At 40.4% G+C, this 20311-nt stretch overlaps 1 protein-coding gene and 1 pseudogene across 2 annotated transcripts in view, besides 3 other annotated features; one reads left to right on the top strand and one right to left on the bottom strand.

Moving 5' to 3' along the window:
- Positions 1–20311, bottom strand: part of YAE1 (YAE1 maturation factor of ABCE1) — a 45686-nt gene that overhangs the window by 24516 nt on the left and 859 nt on the right. The window contains exons 2-3 of one of the 2 annotated variants that reach the window (NM_020192.5): positions 16947–17068; positions 14693–15297 (exon numbers count right to left, since the gene is read on the bottom strand). In NM_020192.5, coding sequence (NP_064577.1) covers positions 14868–15297; positions 16947–17068 — 552 coding nt within the window. In that variant the 3' untranslated portion in view covers positions 14693–14867. Of the gene's footprint in view, positions 1–14692; positions 15298–16946; positions 17069–20311 lie in introns of those variants that run through there. The other variant, NM_001282446.2, reaches the window with a different exon arrangement.
- Positions 7127–7176: an enhancer, noted in NCBI's record as "active region_25878". NCBI's record gives its function as "activates an Ori minimal core promoter by ATAC-STARR-seq in GM12878 lymphoblastoid cells {active_cell/tissue: GM12878}" and the evidence as "EXISTENCE:reporter gene assay evidence [ECO:0000049][PMID:35858748]".
- Positions 7197–7276: an enhancer, noted in NCBI's record as "active region_25877". NCBI's record gives its function as "activates an Ori minimal core promoter by ATAC-STARR-seq in GM12878 lymphoblastoid cells {active_cell/tissue: GM12878}" and the evidence as "EXISTENCE:reporter gene assay evidence [ECO:0000049][PMID:35858748]".
- Positions 12617–12817: a silencer, noted in NCBI's record as "peak6497 fragment used in MPRA reporter construct". NCBI's record gives its function as "represses an SCP1 promoter by STARR-seq MPRAs in K562 erythroleukemia cells {active_cell/tissue: K562}" and the evidence as "EXISTENCE:reporter gene assay evidence [ECO:0000049][PMID:32103011]".
- Positions 17343–19956, top strand: TMX1P1 (TMX1 pseudogene 1; annotated as a pseudogene).

Here is a 20311-nt window from a genome sequence, read left to right as displayed (position 1 = left end):
AAATTCCAAATACAACATGGTACAACAGGGTGCAACATTCCTTCTGTTTAGACATTAGTCATACCCCTGGAAAATTCAGTGTATATTAAACTGTACCTAAAATTATATATACATATATAGGTGTAATAGTACAAGGGTGGTAAAGATTAACTGAAAGTCAGGACACTTGATTTCTTTTTTTCTTTTTCTTTTTTTTTTGAGCCAGAGTCTCGCTCTGTTGCCCAGGCTGGAGCAACAGCCTGTAATCCCAGCACATTGGGAGGCTGAGAGGGGTGGATCACTTGAAGTCAGGAGTTCGAGACCAGCCTGGGCAACACGGCGAAACCCCATTTCTACTAAAAATACAAAAATTAGTTGGGTGTGATGGTGCATGCCTGTAATAACAGCTGCTTGGGACGCTGAGGTGGGAGAATCACTTCAACCTGGGAGGCGGAGGTTGCAGTGAGCCAAGATCACACCACTGCACTCCAGTCTGGGCCACAGAGTGGAATTCCATCTGAAAAAGAAAGAAAGAAAGAGAAAGAAAGAAAAGAAAGAAAGAGAAAGAGAAAGAAAAGAAAAGAAAAGAAAGACTCTTTCCAGGCTTTAGGCTGGTGGTGAACCCATGACCTGCAGCTGTGGGGAGAAACCCCTTTGTATTTCACTTGAGTTTTAGTGTTCCCACAAGGCTTGCACGTCTATCATCTCATCTGTAAGATAAGTACTCCAAGACAACGTAAGCAAAGTGTTTATCCCAGTCCCTGGAACATACAAAGCCCTCAAGAAATCATAGTTATCGGCCGACTGCAGTGGCTCACGCCTGTAATCCCAGCACTTTGGGAGGCCGAGGTGAGCGGATCACGAGGTCAGGAGATGGAGGCCATCCTGGCTAACACGGTGAAACCCCGTCTCTACTAAAAATACAAAAAAATAGCTGGGCATGGTGGCTGGCGCCTGTAGTCCCAGCTACTTGGGAGGCTGAGGCAGGAGAATGGCATCAACCTGGGAGGCGGAGCTTGCAGTGAGCCGAGACTGCGCCACTGCACTCCAGCCTGGGCGACAGAGCAAGACTTCTTAAAAAAAAAAGAAAGAAAGAAAGAGAGAAATGATAGTTATCATTACTGGCCGGGCGCGGTGGCTCACCCCTGTAATCCCAGCACTTTGGGAGGCTGAGGCGGGCGGATCACCAGGTCAGGAGATTGAGACCATCCTGACTAACACGGTGAAACCCCGTCTCTATTAAAAATACAAAAAATTAGCCGGGCATGGTGGCAGGCGCCTGTAGTCCCAGCTACTCGGGAGACTGAGGCAGGAGAATGGCGTGAACCCGGGAGGTGGAGGTTGCAGTGAGCAGAGTTCGCACCACTGCACTCCAGCCTGGGCGACAGAATGAGACTCCATCTCTAAAAAAAAAAAAAGAGGAAAAAAAGAAGAAAAAGAGGTGGTAGTTATCATTACTGACATAGACTGATACCTAGGATATATATATTTCTTTGAGATAGGGTCTTGCTCTGTCACCCAGGCTGGAGTGCGGTGGTGCGATCGCGGCTTACAGCAGCCTTGACCTCCAAAGTTACAGTGATCCTTCCACCTCGGCTTCCCAAGTGGCTGGGACCACAGGTGCACATCACCATGCCTAATTTTTGTATTTTTTTGTAGAGATGAGGTTTTGCCATCTTGCCCGGGCTGGTCTCGAATTCTGAGCTCAAGTGATCCACCTGCCTTGGCCTCCCAAAGTGTTGGGATTACAGGCATGAGCCACCGCTCCCATCAAGATATATTTTTTAAGTGAAAAGAGCAAGCAGTTTTTGTACATTTGGTATGATTTCATTTCAGTAGGAACTTTTTGTTCACCAATGTATCTATTCCCTGAAGATAGTAGGTATTTAATAAATATCTGTTGAAGAAATACATTTCTATAAAAGGAAGTTGTGCCATTTGCTAGTCTGCACATAGAAAAAATCTGGAAGAATCTGGAGGAGTAGTGTATGAGCTTGCCAGGGCTGCAATAACGAGGTACCACAGAACGGGTGGGTTGAACAGACATTTATTTTCTCACAGATCTGGAGGCGAGAAGTCCAAGATCAAGGTGTCAGCTGGTTTGTTTTTTTCTGAGGCCCCTCTCCTTGGCTTGCAGATGGCCGCTTTCCCTGTGTTCTCACGTGGTTTTTTCCTCCGTATATGAGCATCCCTGGTATTTCTTTGTGTGTCCAAATTTCCTCTTCTTATAAGGATACTGGTCAGACTGGGTTAGGGCACACTTCTATCTCCAAATACAGTCACCTTCTGAGGTACTGAGGACTGGGGCTTCAACATGGATTTTGAGAGGACACAATTCAGTCCATAAAATATGGGATTATGAAATATTCATTTTTCCTAAATAATATTTTCTACAATGTTTCTGAATATCTAAATATTTTACTAGAAGCCCATATGGCAGACGTACCTGATAGTAATAACTGAAGCACAGCCTGAGATACTCTATGGTCTAAGAACAATGTGTTGGTCAGAATCTCCACATAAGAAATTGCAAGTGGCCAACCTGGAGACTCGCTCCTTATCTATGAAGGACATTTGAACCTCTGGGCCATTCCCTGTAATGCAGGACATGCAAGGAACTGAGGCACTTTGTTTTGGGTTAAATGGAGTTTTGCTAGGTGGAGGCTGCTAAGTGGAGGTTATGAGGTGGAGGGTGCTAAGTGAAAATGCTATATAAATTGCATGATTTTTGTTGTTGTTGTTGAGATGGGGTCTTACTTTGTTGCCCATGCTGGTCTCAAACTCCTGGCATCAAACGATCCTCCCAACCCGGCCTCCCATAGTGCTGGGATTACTGGCCAGAGTCACCATGCCTGACCATACTACATGCTTTTTACAAATGATAGCAGTGTTCCTGTCCAGCCCACTGCCACTGGACCATCCCTGTATAAAAGTCCTCAATAAACTCTACATCTCGTTTGCTGGCACCAGGTCTCTTCTTTGGCCTCTTGGACACAGTGCCATCCCCACAGGAGTCAATCGGGGTCAGCACAATAGGCCCTAATTGTTTTATAATATAGAAAGGCAATAAATTAGGATAAGGGAAAAAATACTGTGTTTACATTTAAAATATAGTTAATTACAGGCTTTGATACTTATAAACAGATTTTTCATTTATATGAACATCTCCTGGGGCATTTGAAAGTCATGAAGGATGCAGGGCAATTCTTTTTTGTGCACTATTGACCTGGACATTGCAGGACATACAGCATCTCCTCCCCATAACTATTGCTAGTAGTACCCCCTTTCCATCACTCTGGCGAACAAACAAAAAATATGCCCTGAGAGTTTCCAAAAACTTTCTTATTGATCACCCCCACTTTAAAGTATAATTTTATATGAACTTTGCAAATGTTTAAAAGGTTTTCTTATTTTTCCTCCTTCCTTAGTTTTCTTTTAAAATAATAATGGGGTGGGGGGTGGTGAGGAGAAATCATGCTAATTACCTTTAGTTCTGCCAGAGGGAAGCTTGGCTGTGTCTGAGTCATGGCAGAGTTTCATGATAGCGGTTGTGTAAAGACAGTTAAACCTCTTGCAGCTTATTCAAATTCTTACAATTTATTCAAATTGCAGGTATGATGTTCAGGAGAAAATACAATAATAATAGCTAATGTCTAGTGAGTTGTGAACATGTAGCAGGCAGTGTCCTAAGTGCTCCATATATGCAGATTCTTTACAATAACCCTAGGAGGTAGGTCTGACAGATGAAGAAACAGGCACAGGAAAGTGAACTGACCTGTAAACGATGAAGCTGTGCTTCAAAGCAATCACCAAACAAGGGCTTTACATACATAATTGCACGTAATCCCCACAGAAACAATGATGTCACTACCATTACCTCCATTTTATAGATCTTACACATTTGGAAAGTAGGAGGCTCAGATCTCCTGGGAAATACATGGCTTATAGGCACACTGTTATTAACATGTACAAAATAATGGCAAAGAAGGCCAAAGTTATTGCCACAATCAAATCAATGTGGAGAACCAAATAAATTCTGTAAATATCATATTCTCTTTCAAATCTATGTTAAGTTAAAGATCAGTCACTTCTCATAGAATTTTCTGAGGTCCTGCCTGAGTATCTTATTGGATATTGTGGAGAAGTGACTTATGAGTATGATTTTGATTTTCCCCTGGAGTTAATGAAAAATAACTCAATTGGGCTAAGAGTTACCCCTGTTTTGTAAACTGGTCTTTCTCTTTTAAAACAGAAGCAATATTGTGACAAATGCAATAAAGAACTTTATTTTGTTAAGAGCAGGCACTCCCAGAGTTTTATCTGCAAAATATACATTTTTGTATAATATGTCCACATGTATACATTTTATGACTTTCACTTAAAAATATAACATATTCCTTGTTTCTATAGTTCTCATAATGATAACTTTTAATGGGTGCATAACATTTCTTTGAGTGGATGTTATAATAATTTACTCAATTTTTAAAATTGTTGATCATTTGGGTTATTCTAATTTTTCTCTACTCTAGATTGAATGCAGCAACCAATAGCTTTGCGCTGCAAGTTTTTAAAATCACCTTTATAATTCCTTTAACTAAATTCCTAGAAGTGGGATTTTTACGTAAATGTATATAAATGGCTTTGATTTGATACATCTTCTGCTATACCAAATGGAAAGCTATACCGATCTTTGGCATCTTTCTCTGTCAGCTTCTCCATTCATTCTTTCTATCAGCTGAACACCATCTGTCAATGGCAACTTACTTTGCCTGACTTTCTCAAGTTGTCCCTGGTTACTTCCTTGGAGACAAAGCAACCTGTGATGAGGTCAGAAGTATCATGTTCACACTAAAGAGGCAAGGTCTCTGATGAGTAGCTGAGTGAAATCCCATCTCTGACCTCAGTGCTTCTGCTACCTTTCATGAAGGCCATCCTTTGTTCCAGCACACTGACAGAAATAAAAAACGCTCTCTAAGCTGACAAATGGGGTGGGTCATAAGTGAACATTGTGACAGATTTCAGACATCATACAGACCTCATATTGGCCTATAAGATAAAAATCACAGACTAATAATATATCGTTTGGCAGCTTGAATGACAAAACAATGTGATTTTAAATGAAAATACTTTTAATTGGCTTCTACAAATGAATTAAATGAGTTTTCCTTCTACATTCAATTCTATTGCAGTCATTTCTAAACAGCTGATAGGTTAAAATTATATGGTTAGTTAAAATAACTATTTTTAACTAATTTTTTTTTTGGCTGGGCATGGTGGCTCATGCCTAGAATTCAAGCACTTTGGGAGGCCGAGGGAGGAGGATCACTTGAGCCCAGGAGTTCTAGACTAGCCCAGGCAACACAGTGAGGCCCTATCTCAACAATGACAACAACAAAAATGACAACAACAAAATTAGCCCGGCATGGTATAGTCCTATCAATAGTCTGATCTTTCCAGAAAGAATATCACCAAAGTACTAATCAGAACTACCTACAGACACAGTTCTCAGAAGCTGGTGTAGTGCCTGTAGTCCCAGCTACTTGGGAGGCTGAGGCAGGAGGATTGCTTGAGCCCAGGAGATTGAGGCTGCCATAAGCTGTAATTGTACCACTGCACTCCAACCTTAGTGACAGAGTGAGACTCCATCTCTTAAAAAAAAAATTAACTTTTACTTTTTAAAAAGCTATTTTTATGGTTATTTTCTTGTTTTTTATTTTTTTTTTGAGACTGGGTCTCACTCTGTTACCCAGGCTGAAGTGCAGTGGCAGGATCACGGCTCACTGCAGCCTTGAACTCCTGGGCTTAAGCCATCCTTCTGCCTCAGCCTTCCCAAGTAGTTGGGACCATAGGTGTGCACTACCATGCCCGGTTGATTTTGTATTTTTTGTAGAGATGCGGTCTCCCTATGTTTCCCAGGCTGGTCTTGAACTCTTGGGTTCAAGTGATCCACCTGTCTCAGCTTCCCAAAGTGCTGGGATTATAGGCATGAGCCACCGTGCCAGGGTGGTTAGTTGTTAATAATAATTTGCTGTTCCATGGTGTAATTTTTAATTACAGGTTAGAGAGTTTTTGGTTATTTCAGAATCTGATTTTGGAAGAAAGGTGTTTTGCAATGCCTCCAAATAAGAAAAAGAAGATATTTTATTTTCAGGTTATTTACATTATACCCCAATTTCAGTCATTTTGCTTTATTGGCAAAAGCTATCATTATACTATTGTCAAATCTCTCATATTTCATTATTACAAGCAATTTGACAACTCATTTGTTTTGTGTTTAAAAATCTATCTAGAACCATATATTTCTTTTATAAATAACAAAGCCATGTTACATAGATAACGATGACTATGTCATTAATAAGGAAACAGGCTTAACTATTCTAGAGTTGTATTTGATGAGAGGAAAACCTAGTTGGTTGTCGATTTGTTGACTAAAAAGAGAAGAGTTGTGATATATTTGAGTAGGTTAACAAAGTTGTTGTCTCTCCCTATGTTTACATCCTGAAAAGTTGTGTTTGTGTGTGTGAGAGAAAAAGAGAGAGTGAGATCAAGAGATGAACTGCAAGTGTTGTTTGAAACAGTTTAGGTGCAGTCCTGCTTGGCAAGTAGAGATGCTTCCTGCAGGTGAGGTTAGAATTTTACATTGCTTCTGATTGAAGGCTGCATGCTTTGGGTTCTAGGTGTTTACTTTTAGGCCTCAGAGCTTTGGAAAAAAGGTGCTTTTTTCTTTTGAACAGGTTTTCTTATGATCAGTTATTTTGATTTAGAAAAATTCTCAGCCTAGAATTTAAACAAGAACAGGAGGATCCTAATTTCTTATTTGTCGACATACCCCAAAAGCCCTCCTCATCCACCCAACTTCACAAATGGCTCAATCTGTCTGGTATAGCTTTAGGGATAATCACTAGCTTCTTGTACTTGTGACCATGAGGTCTAAGCAAAGGGCACATTACCAAGGAATGAAACACGTGCTAACTTATCAGGGTGCACGAGCACCACCTAGTGGCCTTGAACTAACTCAACAGCTTCTTCGAAAGAAAGAGGATCCAAAGGTCCAAGGCCTCTCTCAGTGGTGAGTTGCATACACATGCATGAAAGCACCAGGATTCAACTTCCGCAGAACTCAATCTGTAGGTAGTTCTGATTAGTACTTTGATCTTCTTTTTGGAAAGAGCAGACTATTTATAGGGCAAGAAAACGGAGTGTTACACACTGAGGACTCTTGGCTCTTTTTGGCAGATCTGCAGCAGTATGCACATATGTGAGTGGTGAGCTAACACCCTTCCTTTCAGTTGAATAGGAATATGTAAAAGCTAGACACATCATCACAAAATGAGTGACATAAACTATCTTCCCGTTTGGAGGATAGAAAGTCTAAGAAGTCCGAGGAGAATTTAGTTTCTCCTTTAGTATATGTGCTAAACCACTTTCTACATAATATTCTCCCCTCGAGTAGGCAGGGACCATCTCTTTTTCTACATGTATAGCAAACAAATCTGGTAAATTTTTTGTTCCTTATAACTGTTGGTTATTATGCTTTTTTTGTTTTTTTAGACACAGGGTCTCACTCTGTTGCCTAGGCTAGAGTGCAGTGGTGCGATCACAGCTCACTGCAGCCTCAAGCTCCTGGGCTCAGGTGATCCTCCCACTTCAGCTTCCCAGGAGGCTGGGACTACAGGTTGCATGCCACCATGCCTGGCTATTATTATTTTGGTAGTGACAGGCTTTTGCCATGTTGCCCAGGCTGGTGTGGTCTCAAACTCCTGGGCTCAAGTGATCCTTCCAACTCAGCCTCCCAAAGTGCTGCGATTGTAGGTGTGAGCTATAGACACGTAGCTCGGCTATTACATACATTTTTAAAATAAAAATAATACTTGCTGACTGGGGAAGACTTGAAAAATGCAGAAAAGCAGGATTTTTTTTTTTTTTTGAGACAGAGTCTCACTCTGTTGTCCAGGCTGGAGTGCAGTGGCGTGATCTCAGCTCACTGCACCCCCACCTCCTGGGTTCAAGCGATTCTCCTGCCTCAGCCTCCTGAGTAGCTGGGATTACAGGTGCCTGCCATCACACAAGACTAATTTTTGTATTTTTAGTAGAGATGGGTTTTTGCCATGTTGGCCAGGCTGGTCTCGAACTCCTGACCTCAAGTGACCTGTCCACCTCGGCCTCTCATAGAAAAATAGAAATTAACAGCAAAGTAAACACATAGCTCACAGTCCCCCTACTAAACACAGTCACTGCTACCATGTTATTATTTAGTAAGCATCCACCCTGAGTACACACTCTGGAACCAGGCTTGCCTTGGTTTAAATCTCAAGTGGGCCATTTAGTAGCTACAAACTGGACACATTACTTAGCCTTCTTGGTGCCTCGATTTCCTAATCTCTAAGATGGGCATAAAAGCAGCTCTGCAGGAGAGGGCTATTATGAGGATTAAAGAAATTAATATATGTAAAGCTTTTAGAATATAGTGCCTACATATAGTAAACACTGCCTGCGTTAACCATTACTTCCCCTCTCTTTTTCCTCCAGCTCCTTACTGTTATTAGAACTATGCACCAGGGATCCTGCTAGAAACTAACATCTTGGTTTGTTTTCACCTAGTTTTTGCCTTTGTGTAGTTTCTTTCTGCACTTTCTTAGTAGCGGAAACTATACTAAAACATAATTTTGTATTTTTTAAAGTTTTGCTATATTGTAATATTAACTTATTCATTGTAAAATTTGTAATGACTGGTAAATGCTATTATATTAACGTAACTGTTTAGCCTGGTGTATGACGATGTAGTCTCCGGAATTGGTGGATTCTTGGTCTCACTGACTTCAAGAATGAAGCTGCAGACCCTCGCGGTGAGTGTTACAGTTCTTAAAGGTGGTGTGTCCGGAGGTTGTTCCTTCTGATATTCAGACGTGTTCGGAGTTTCTTTCTTCTGGCGGGTTCATGGTCTCACTGGCTTCAGGAGTGAAGCTACAGACCTTCGCGGTGAGTGTTGCAGCTCATAAGGCAGCGCGTCTGGAGTTGTTCATTCTTCCAATGGGTTCGTGGTCTCGCTGGCCTCAGGAGCGAAGCTGCAGCCCGTTGCAGTGAGTGTTACAGCTCACAAAGACAACACAAACCCAAACAGTGAACAGCAGAAAGATTTATTGCAAACAGCAAAAGAACAAAGCTTCCACAACATGGAACTAGACCCTTGGGCAGCCTGCAACTAGACCCTTGGGCAGCCTGCTTTTATTCCCTTATCTGGCCCCACCCACATCTTGCTGATTGGTCCATTTTACAGAGAGCTGATCGGTCTGTTTTACAGACAGCTTATTGGTCCGTTTTGACAGAGTGCTGATTGGTGTATTTACAATCCCTTAGCTAGACATAAAGGTTCTCCAACTCCCTACCAGATTAGCTAGACACAGAGCGCTGCTTGAACTAGACACAGAGTGCTGATTGGTGCATTTACAATCCTCCAGCTAGACATAGAAGTTCTCCAAGTCCCCACCAGATTAGCTAGACACAGAGCACTGATTGGTGTATTCACAAACCTCGAGCTAGACACCAAGTGCTGACTGGTGTATTCACAATCCCTTAGCTAGACATAAAGGTTCTCCAAGTCCCCACCAGATTAGCTAGACACAGAGCACTGATTGGTGTGTTTACAAACCTCGAGCTAGACACAGAGTGCTGACTGGTGTATTCACAATCCCTTAGCTAGACATAAAGGTTCTCCAAGTCCCAACTAGACTCACGAGCCCAGCTGGCTTCACCTCGTGGATCCTGCACTGGGCCGCAGGCGGAGCTGCCTCCCAGTCCCGCACCGTGCACCCGCACTCCTCAGCCCTTGGGCAGTCCATGGGACCGGGCGCAGCAGAGCAGGGGGTGGTGCTCGTTGGGGAGGCTTGGGCTGCGCAGGAGCCCACAGTGGGGGTGAGGCTAGGGCATGACAGGCTGCAGGTTCTGAGCCGTGCCCACCGGGGAGGCAGCTGAGGCCTGGCGAGAATTTGAGCGCAGTGCCGGCAGGCTGGCACTGCTGGGGGACCTGGTGCACCCTCTGCAGCTGCTGGCCCGGGTGCTAAACCCCTCCCTCCCTGCTGGCCGGCCACTCCAAGTGCAGGGCCTGCCAAGCCCACCTCCCACCAGAAGCTCACGCTGGCTCGCCACTCTCACTCCACACCTCCCTGGGAGGGGAGGGAGCCGGTTCCGGCCTCGGCCAGCCCAGAGAGGGGCTCCCACAGCGCAGCAGCGGGCTGAAGGGCTCCTCAAGCGCAGCCAGAGTGGGTGCTGAGGCCAAGGAGGCACCTAGAGTGAGAGAGGGCTGCCAGCACTTCGTCACCTCTCAATGACACAGTTTGGATATGTGGATTTTTATTAACATGCAAAATGAAGATAAACATTTTTTAGAAAGGCAAACATAAGGCAGGTGTGGTGGCTCACGTCTGTAATCCCAGCACTTTGGGAGGCCAAGGCGGGTGGATCACCTGAGGTCAGGAGTTTGAGACCAGCCTGGCCAACATGATGAAACCCCATCTCTACTAAAAATACAAAAAATTAGCTGGGTGTGGTGGCAGGCCCCTGTAATCCCAGCTACTTAGGAGGCTGAAGCAGGAGAATCACTTGAACCCAGGAGGTGGAGGTTGTAGTGAGCCGAGATTGCGCCATTGCACTCCAGCTTGGGCAACAGGAGTAAAACTCCATCTCAAAAAAGAAAAGCTAACATAAAGATTTACAAAAGAATGTAACACGATGTATTTTGGAATCCTGTTCTCCTGTTCTGGTTATATTTCCATGTTGGCTAGTAGATTCATTTTTTTTTTCTCTCATCAAGCACCACCTATGCATCTATGTACAGGGTGTGATGCTGAATGCTGGGACTATAACACTAAATAAGGGATTTTCCTGGAGAAACGTGAAGAGACACTCAAAGTGATGCAGGGGAAACATTGGGAAGAGCAATCACCTCTGCCTGATGAAGCTGAAATTTAAGCTGGTATTGGAGGGTGACAGGAATTTGCTGGGAAAGGACGTGGAATAAAGTATTCTAGGCAGAAGAGTCAGCAATGAGTAAAAATCTAAGTTGGGAATAAGCCTAGTGTGTCCATAAAGCATTGTAGTAATGCCTGTAAAGAAGTGTAGTGTGCATGGTGAATGGAAAGAGGCAGGTGGGAAAAGAAGACTGACAACACTCTTTTGGGCCCAACACTTCAACAGGTTTGGGCCAAGACCTGAAAAACAAAAACAGAAACAAAAGGGAATAAATCTAGGTTTTAAGTCAGGGAAGTAAACTGTTTTGGAAAGATAATATTGGTAAGAGACAGAATGGACAGGAAGACAGCTAGATTGTAGGTACTGACATTAGTGATGAGGCTGGTACATAAATTAATTAAAATCTGGGTGATTAGAATGAAAGGAGGCCAGACTCAAACTGTTTGAAAGATGTAAAGCAACTCAGTTAGAAGTAGGGTATGATGGCACAGGAAGGGCAGAGGAAGACTTAATGTTTCCAGCTATGGATGAACAGGGATGACATTAATAGGTGAGATCATCTGGTCAGAATATAAAAACAAAGAGGTCCAACAGTGAAACTCTGGGGAATCCCTACATCTAAGCAGCAGTCAGAGTCGGGGAGAGTTAGCAAAATGATAGGGAATAGTAATGAGCGGACAAGAAAAAGTGCTGTTGGAGAAGGCAAGGAGAAGGGATTGTATAAGCAGTGAATTGTTCATGTCCAATGATGGAGAGGAGACAAATGATAGGACTGAAAACAAGTCAGTGATGGACAGTTGTGTGACTGGCTATCAGTGACTTTAGCAAAAAGTAGTTTAAAGGTGGAGAGTGCATGAGAAATTAAGAATTTGAGACAGTGATGGCAGACTCGTGCTCCAGCATGTTTGTTCAGAAAAGGCATTACGTAGGGGCAAAATCAAGAAAGGCAACTGTTGCGGTAAAGTATCTTCATGACAGAGATTTGAGAATTTCTGTAGAACAAGAAGCCTGATTGGTGAATCACTCTCTATACACACACACACACTCACTCTCTCTCTCTCTCTCTCTCTCTCTCTCTCTCTCTCTCTCCTGTATCTTAGACTGGAAACTTAGTTCTAAGAACTAAGCTCTAACCTTAGTTGGAAGAGGGTAGAATCACAACTTAGACTGGGCTGAAGGCTTTTATTTTGGTTTCCCACAAAGCAGTTAATAAGTAGTGTAAAGGATATATATTAGGTAAGGACGCAGGTATATGCATTCAGCTGCCCACTCCCTTTACATATCACAACATTTTTGGTGGCCTCAGCAGTTCTAGTAACTAAAATGTCAGAAAAGTGTGGTTCTGTGGGCTTCCTTATCACCCTTTTTAAAAACCTCAGATATATTAGCACCCAGAAGTAACTTATTTTAGATGAAATTTGTTTCTAAGGAAGCCACACCACTCAGTCTAATGTCTGGGTTCTGGGCCTTGAAACTCTGGCTGTGCCAGCTCTGGGGCAATCTTGCTTTACCATTTTTCATTTATGCTCATGCAGGGTATTCTCATGGGAAGACCTGGCAGACCTACAACATGTGAGGCAAGGCAAGAGACCCAAGGCCAGTAAGCTCTTTCCCTTCATTCTTGGTTCTAGTACAGAGGCTCATGTTCATGGAACACAGGTAGAATCAGCATGCCATTAACATTCCTCTGCAGTCCAGGAACTTCTGTATTTCATGTTTTTAGAGACAGGGTATTGCTCTGTTACTCAGGCTGAAGTAGAGTGGGGTGATCTTATCTCACTGCAGCCTCAACCTTCTGCACTCAAGTGATCCTCCCAGCTCAGCTTCCCAAGTAGCGAAGACTACAGGGACTTAACACCATGGCTGTCGGATTTTTTTTTTTTTTTTTTTTTTGGAGACAGAGTCTTGCTCTGTCACCCAGGCTGGAGAGTAGTGGCACAATCTTGGCTCACTGCAACCTCCGCTTCCTAGGCTCAAGCAATCCTTGTGCCTCAGCCTCCCCAGTAGCTGGGATTACAGGCATGCACCACCATGCCTGGCTCATTTTTTGTATTTTAGCAGAGACGGGGTTTCACCATGTTGCCCAGGCTGGTCTTGAACTCCTGAGGTCAGGCAATCCACCTGCTTTGGCCTCCCAGAGTGTTAGGATTACAGGCATGAGCCACTGCACCCAGCGGATTTTTTTCATTTTACTAGAGACAAAGTCTCACTATGTTGCCCAGCCTGGTCTTGAACTCTTGGACTCAAGTGATCCTCCTGTCTTCACCTCCCAAAGTGTTGAGATTACAGGTGTGAGCCACTGTGCCTGGCCCCTTCTGTACTTTTTAAAAGGCAAAACAAGTTCGAGAGATGTTTTCAATCCAATAGTCTCAACTAGCTAATTCTCCTGATTTCATTTTCGACAAAAATCTGTACAAACACACCATATGTAGCCAATGGTGGCAATGGGTGTTATCTTCAGGGAATCTTATCAGGAAAAGCCTAGATAAAAATCTCAAGATTTACCACACCCATGACATTTTTACTTAGGGTGGCCTTGAGATGCATCCTTAGAGGTATTTCATATGTATATGCACGGCACAGCAACATTAAAAAGACTTTAGAGGCTGCTTATAATACCCATATTCCATGTGGAGTTGAGATTTGGGCTGTGTCCATAAACATGGAAACATATATTAACAAGACAAACTAGTAAATCTCTGAAAAACAGTCTTCACACCTGGAGAGATCGAAGAGCTTTTTTTAGCCAGCTGTCAAATGGCACTGGTATCTTCAGCGGGGGTTTTAATAAATCCTGAAACTCAATATGGCTTTCTGATTTTAAATCTGTTGCTTCAATTTCTTAATGTTCTTCTGTGAACTTTGAGGAGGGTCATAGTACAGTGTACATTTTTAATCTCTTGAAAAGATATACTTTGTCAGATTCTTCATCTCAATATGCCTGTCTTTCAGCTTAGATGGTAGGTATAAATAGGGGTGAAAGAGCAATTAAGGCTACCAATGAGGGACAATTATTTCAGTGCCTTTGAAGTCAGGTATCTCATATAAACTTGTGTTTCAGGTGAATAAAAGTGCTGAGAAATCCTCTCCTGATTCTGAGTTTAGATCCTGGAGTAAAAATTTGAATCTAATTTTGTCCATGCTAGACTAAGAATATTACCTCAAGGTAATATAGAAGTCAGTGGTTTCAGTGTTTTACTCCTATGTGAATATGAAATATACTGCAGTTTAAAATAATCTGGCACACTGTTAGGCAATATTACTAACTCCTTACTACTTAGAAAAACTAAGTAGGCATTTTCCTTAGACTTTAGCATAAAATATATTTTCTATGTTTTTCATAAAACTGAATGTCCTTACTTTTAATTAACACAAAACTAAAACACATTTTAGTATTTTGCTGTTAACCATTTAATCAACAGCATAAACACTGCTTCAGTTTCTCACAGTCTCTTAATTTCAATATATATCTACATATCTATATCTATATATCTGTCTGTGTGTCTATATTTACGTTAACTATTAAGTTATTTTTATAACTTTGGTTTGGTGAGGTCCTGACCACCTAATAGTGACAGGAGGTAGAAGTAGGGGTAGGTCCTTACAAAATATGTTTAATTCTTGTTCACTTTTGCTAATGAGTCTGAAAACACTTCATTTTGACCACAAGTTTGGAAATGTCAATGACAGTAGAAATTTCTGACCATATCTTAAAACTACATAAAAATTACCAGTGACAAAGAAAAAAGGCTTATATTACATTTAATAGTGTTAATTTTGAAGACAATAGTGTTAATTTCAAACTTCCATAAAGGGTAACCCTACAGTTGAGGTGTTTGATGCAGAAACCAGTACAAATTTCGATTGTTAGGAAACCAAATGTTCTGAACATTATTTTCATTAGAAAAGGGAAGGTAATTTTATAGTTGTTTGAGGTGTTGTAATACATCTACTGATAGGCCCAGCTGTTTAACTAAACTGGCTGTCTGTTCCAAAATCCATGTGGGGCTTGGGTTTTCTGAATGTGCATGCTCCTGTGTTCTACAACATTCTACATATGAACAATCTATCCCACTATGGCTCTTGCTACAGTTTTTGTTAAACTCAGCATTATTTTCACAGAGTCTTTCATCTTTAGCTTCATCAATCTTTTTCTCAGCTGGAACTACATGACAAAGGTCCATATCCTCAATGGAGTCCAATAAATCTACAACATGGGACGGTGGAGTGATTGATTTCAGATGTTTGAGCACATACTCTTCACACTGGCCAACTGCATCCAGAAGATTGTTTATTTTATTGATCAAAGTTGAATTATTATTATGAAGGTGACACCAGGAGAGCAAAGCACTGAACAAAAGTATAAACAAGGGTTAAATAGCAAAATAGGACTTAAAAATATAAGACTATCTTTCAATAACAATTAAACGATTGGACTTAATCATAAAACTGTTTATAATTCATAACCCCTCTTTCATAACTCTATATACGCTTTTCCTGATTTTATATTTTTCTCTTATGACTATGTAATATCTGTTGAAGATGAATACAACTCCGAGAAAGAAAAATTAGTTTCTTCTTTAAGGACATTAAACAGCTTCTTAACTAGCAATTCTCAATCATGGATGCACATTAGAATCACCTGAAGAGCTCTGACCCCTATCAAGGCCCAGATTATACTCCACACCAATTAAATCAGAATCTCAGGGGGTATCTTTTTTTTAAGTTTCAGAGTTAAGGTGCAACCAAAGTTGAAAACCATCGTTCTAAGCACATAGTTGCTTGCCATCAAGAATGAAGGTTAGAGAAAAGAAGTTTTCAAGAGACTTCACTTTCCTGGGCTTATGTCACAGAGTAGAAACTGTTTGCTGAACTACTAACAATTTCCTTGAAAAAGGTAAAAATTCTTCTAGTCCTAACAGATTTAATATTATAGTCATGTCATAAAATAATGATTATTATGAAAAGTATTTAAAAATAGAATCCATTGATATAAAAGATTCAGCAGTAGCTTTCTAAGGTTATGTAACATCAACTTGATGATGTGAATATTCACATTGTTTTCCTACTGTAGCAGACTAAATTCTGGTTCCTAATAGTTGGATTTTCTAAAATCCCAAATACAATAAATTTTTCGGTTTGTTTTGGTAACTTTTATCATCTACTCTTCTTTAAAATTAGCGATTCTTTGAAGCATTTTTTTTTTCTCTACCAAGGACAGTGTAAAGGGTATAAAGCAGGGGTGTCCAATCTTTTGGCTTTCCTGGGCCACATTGGAAGAACTGTCTTGGGCCACACATAAAATACATTAACACTAATGATAGCTGATGAGTTAAAAAAAAAAAAAAAAGAAAAAAGAAAAAATATCATGAAAAAAATTTCATAATGCTCATATTGTTTTAAGAAAGTTTATGAATTTGTGTTGGGCCATATTCAAAGCCGTCCTGGGCCACATGTGATATGCAGGCCACTGGTTGGACAAGCTTGGTATAGAGCATCAAACTGGACAAGGCTGCTAGGCTCCTGGCTCTGTGTATCATTTGACCATTTGGCTCCGATATATGCCATTATTGCAATGGCATCCTGACAAGTATTCAATGTTCAGGACTAAAGTAAATTAAATCAATTTTATCTTAATTACCAACTATTTTCATCATGTACTTCTAGTCTAGAGGTCTGTCATACTGTGTGGAAGTACTACAAGTTTTATTCAAAATCTGAAGACCTTTCAATGAGATAGATAATTGTTCAGGTAGCAGAAGTATACATCTTCTTACCATTTCTTTGCACGAAAAGACAATATGTAGTTCACACATTAAAGTAGATGAGCTGATAAAGATTTTGACTTTTTGAAGGCAATATAATTCTATGATCTGCGACACGCTTTAGTGTATTTAGCACCAGGAAAAGCATTTCAGTTTAAACACTTTATTTATACAGAAACATCCTCCAGTAGTATTGAGGTTAAAATGATTCAGCATTTAGACTTTAAAAATTACCTCAATGTTCCTCGGAGTCGTCCATAGTTTAAAATGACTTCTGCACCTTTCTTATAACCTTGATTGAAGCCCTGTTGAAGAGTAACTGCTTTGCCAGCATCTATTCCATCTCTATAACCTTCCTAAAAATAAGTAATGGAGAAGTGCAGCTGTAACTAAGTATATACATGTAGGCTTTTCTAGAAAAGTACAGAACCAATTTAGAAAGCAGATGAATTAGGCCTTTACTGTGTTACTGACCATAATATGGCATAACAATATAACTAAAGCAGACTATGCTTCTCCTAAGTTTATTATTGGTTTATCATTACTTATCCCACTTTTGAAGTCTAGAGTTACCGGGCAATTTTTAAAACACTGATAGTCACAGTTTTTAAAAAACCTAGTGTTGGGCCGCCACGCTTGCTGTGAGGTGGGCAAGCGGCAGACATGGCACCCTCCAGGAGTCTTGCAGTTCCGCTGGCAGTCCTGGTACTGTTGCTTGGGGGTGCTCCCTGGACCCACAGGCGGCAGAGCAACGTACGCATCATCACAGACAAGAACTGGAGAGAGCTGCTGGAAGGAGGCTGGATGATACAATTTTATGCCCCGTGGTGCCCTGCTTGTCAAAACCATTAACCGGAATGGGAAAGTTTTGCTGAATGGGGAGAAGATCTGAGGTTAATGTTGTGAAAGTAGATGTCACAGAGCAGCCAGGACTGACTGGACAGTTTACAATAACTGTTCTTCCTACTATTTATCATTGTAAAGATGGTGAATTTAGGCATCCTCAGGGTCCAAGGACTCAGAAGGACTTCATAAACTTTATAAGTGATAAAGAGTGGAAGAGTATTGAACCCGTTTCATCATGGTTTGTTTCAGGTTCTGTTCAGATGAGTAGTACGTCAGCACTCTTTCAGCTATCTACGTGGATCAGGACTTGCCATAACTACTTTATTGAAGACATTGGATTGCCAGTGTGGGGATCATATGCTGTTTTTCCTTTAGCAACTCTGCATTCTGGACTGTTACTAGGACTCTGTATGATATTTGTGGCAGGTTGCCTTTGTCCTTCAGAAAGGCACACACCACAGCCATACCCTTCAAAAAAATTATCAGAATCTGCTCAACCTTTGAAAAAACTGGAGGAAGAACAAGAGGCGGATAAAGAAGATGTTTCAGAAGAAGAAGCCAAAAGTAAAGAAGGAACAAAGACTTTCCACAGAATGCCATAACACAACACTCTCTGGGTCCATCACTGGTCACAGATAAATTGTATAGTTATCTTAATATCATGATTTTGATAAAAACAGAAGACTGATTATTTCTTTTGGTTTGAAGTGAACTGTGACTTGCTTGTATATTACAGCATTCAGTCTAGATTGTCATTAAATTGAAGACTCTACATTCAGAACATAAAAGCACTAGGTATGTAAGTTTGAAATATGATTTAAGGACAGTATGGTGGTTTAACTAGTTCTCTAATTTTTGAAAAATCTTGCCAAACAATAAGATTTATGTATATTTGTTTAATAATAACCTGTTTCAAATCTGAGTTTTGAAAATTTACATTTCCCCAGTATTGCATTATTGGGGTACTTAAGATTATTTTAGAGAAAAATATTTCTCATTTGATATAATTTTTCTCAGTTTCATGTGTGTGAAAAAAGGAAAGTATTTCCCATAAATGGGAACTTTGCCCACTGTCTCAAGAAATATATATTTCAGTGACAATTCCGTGGTTTTAGAGATATATTCCAAAATTTCCTCATATTTTTAAGTTATGCAACTAATAAAAACTACCTTACATTAATTAGTTGCAGTTTTCTACACATGGTAATATAGGATAAGCTACTGATTTAGGAAGTTTTAAAGTCCATGGTATTCTCTCGATTCCAATAAAGGTTGATTTTCTCTTGTATTTTTCTTATTTATTACGGGTTACATTTTTTATTTTTCAAATTGGATAATATCCTGGAATTATCTTTTATGATTTAGTAAACAGCATTTTTTGTTGTTGTTTCAAACTGAAGTTTACTGAGAGATCCATCAAATTGAACTGTCTGTTGATAATTTAAAATTTTGGCCATTCATTTCAGATTTTAAATCATTCTTGCTGAACTACTTGAAATTGTCTTTTAAAATTTTTCTTTTTGGATGTGAAGGTGAACATTCCTGATTTTTGTCTGATGTGGAAAAGTCCTGGTATTTTACATTTTGAAAATTCACAGAAGGTTAATATAAAACAAAGTTTGCATTCTACTCAGGAAAAAGCATCTTCTTGTATATGTTTTAAATGTATCTTTGGCATCATATACAGAAAGTTCTTAATTAATTTTACAGTCTGTAATGCTTGATGTTTCAAAATCATTAACTATATATATATATATTTATTATTATCATTATTTTTTGAGATGGAGTCGCGCTCTGTCACCCAGGCTGGAGTGCAGTGGCATGACCTCAGCTCACTGCAACCTCTGCCTCCCGGATTCAAGTGATTCTTCTGCCTCAGCCTCCCAAGTAGCTGGGACTATAGGTGCACGCCACTATACCCGGCTAATTTTTGTATTTTTAGTAGAGATGGGGTTTCGCCACACATTTTTATATTTTAAGATACAAACTTCATATTTTCCTGTTCTTTCCTAACTGCTAATATTGTGTGGTATCTTACAGGTAGAAATCAACAGGATGGTACACTTAGTGTATTTTTACTCCTTAAAGAGCATACTCCTTAAAGGGCATACATAGTTTTCACCTTACAAGAAGGGGGAAAACCATAAATACAATGAATCAACTGACCATTATGTAGTAGACAATTTCTGTAATGTCCCCTTCTTTCTAGGCTCTGCGGATAGGAGAATCCACTAGACTTATAGTAGCATAATGTACAAGTTTTCTTTAAAGGTCTCTCCTTTAGAATATAAAATATTATACCATTGAAGAGTTTGGATGTGTAACCTGTGATGCCTTAGAAAAATATCCTAAGCACAAAATAAACTTTTCTAATCACTTCAAAAGATTAAAAAAACCAAAAAACAAAAAACAAAACCCAGCATTAGCAATGTCTTCACAAAAAGGATATATGGAAAATTACACATCTGGGCTCTTGCCAACTGATTGGAATGGTGTGGGTGGGTGAGGAGACAGGGCAAAGCAGAGAGAGGAAATTGTTTAAAAAAAAAAGGATGATGAGAAGTCTGGTTTCAGAAATTTTGCATAATACCTAAATTCAACTAACCTGCAAAAGCTCTGTGGGTAGTGATTTCGTTCTGCATCTCTCACGGTGCCACAGCATTTAAAAGATGCTCAATACTTATTAGTGTGGCCCCAGTCTCACATAAAGCATTTTTGTAATTGACAACATGGTTTTTGGGCTAAGCAAATAC

This window comes from Homo sapiens, chromosome 7 (genome assembly GCF_000001405.40).
Source record: "Homo sapiens chromosome 7, GRCh38.p14 Primary Assembly".
In the NCBI taxonomy this organism is placed as follows: domain Eukaryota; kingdom Metazoa; phylum Chordata; class Mammalia; order Primates; family Hominidae; genus Homo; species Homo sapiens.
The sequence above is the reverse complement of the archived record's forward strand: the minus strand, read 5'-3'. Positions and strand labels throughout refer to the sequence as shown.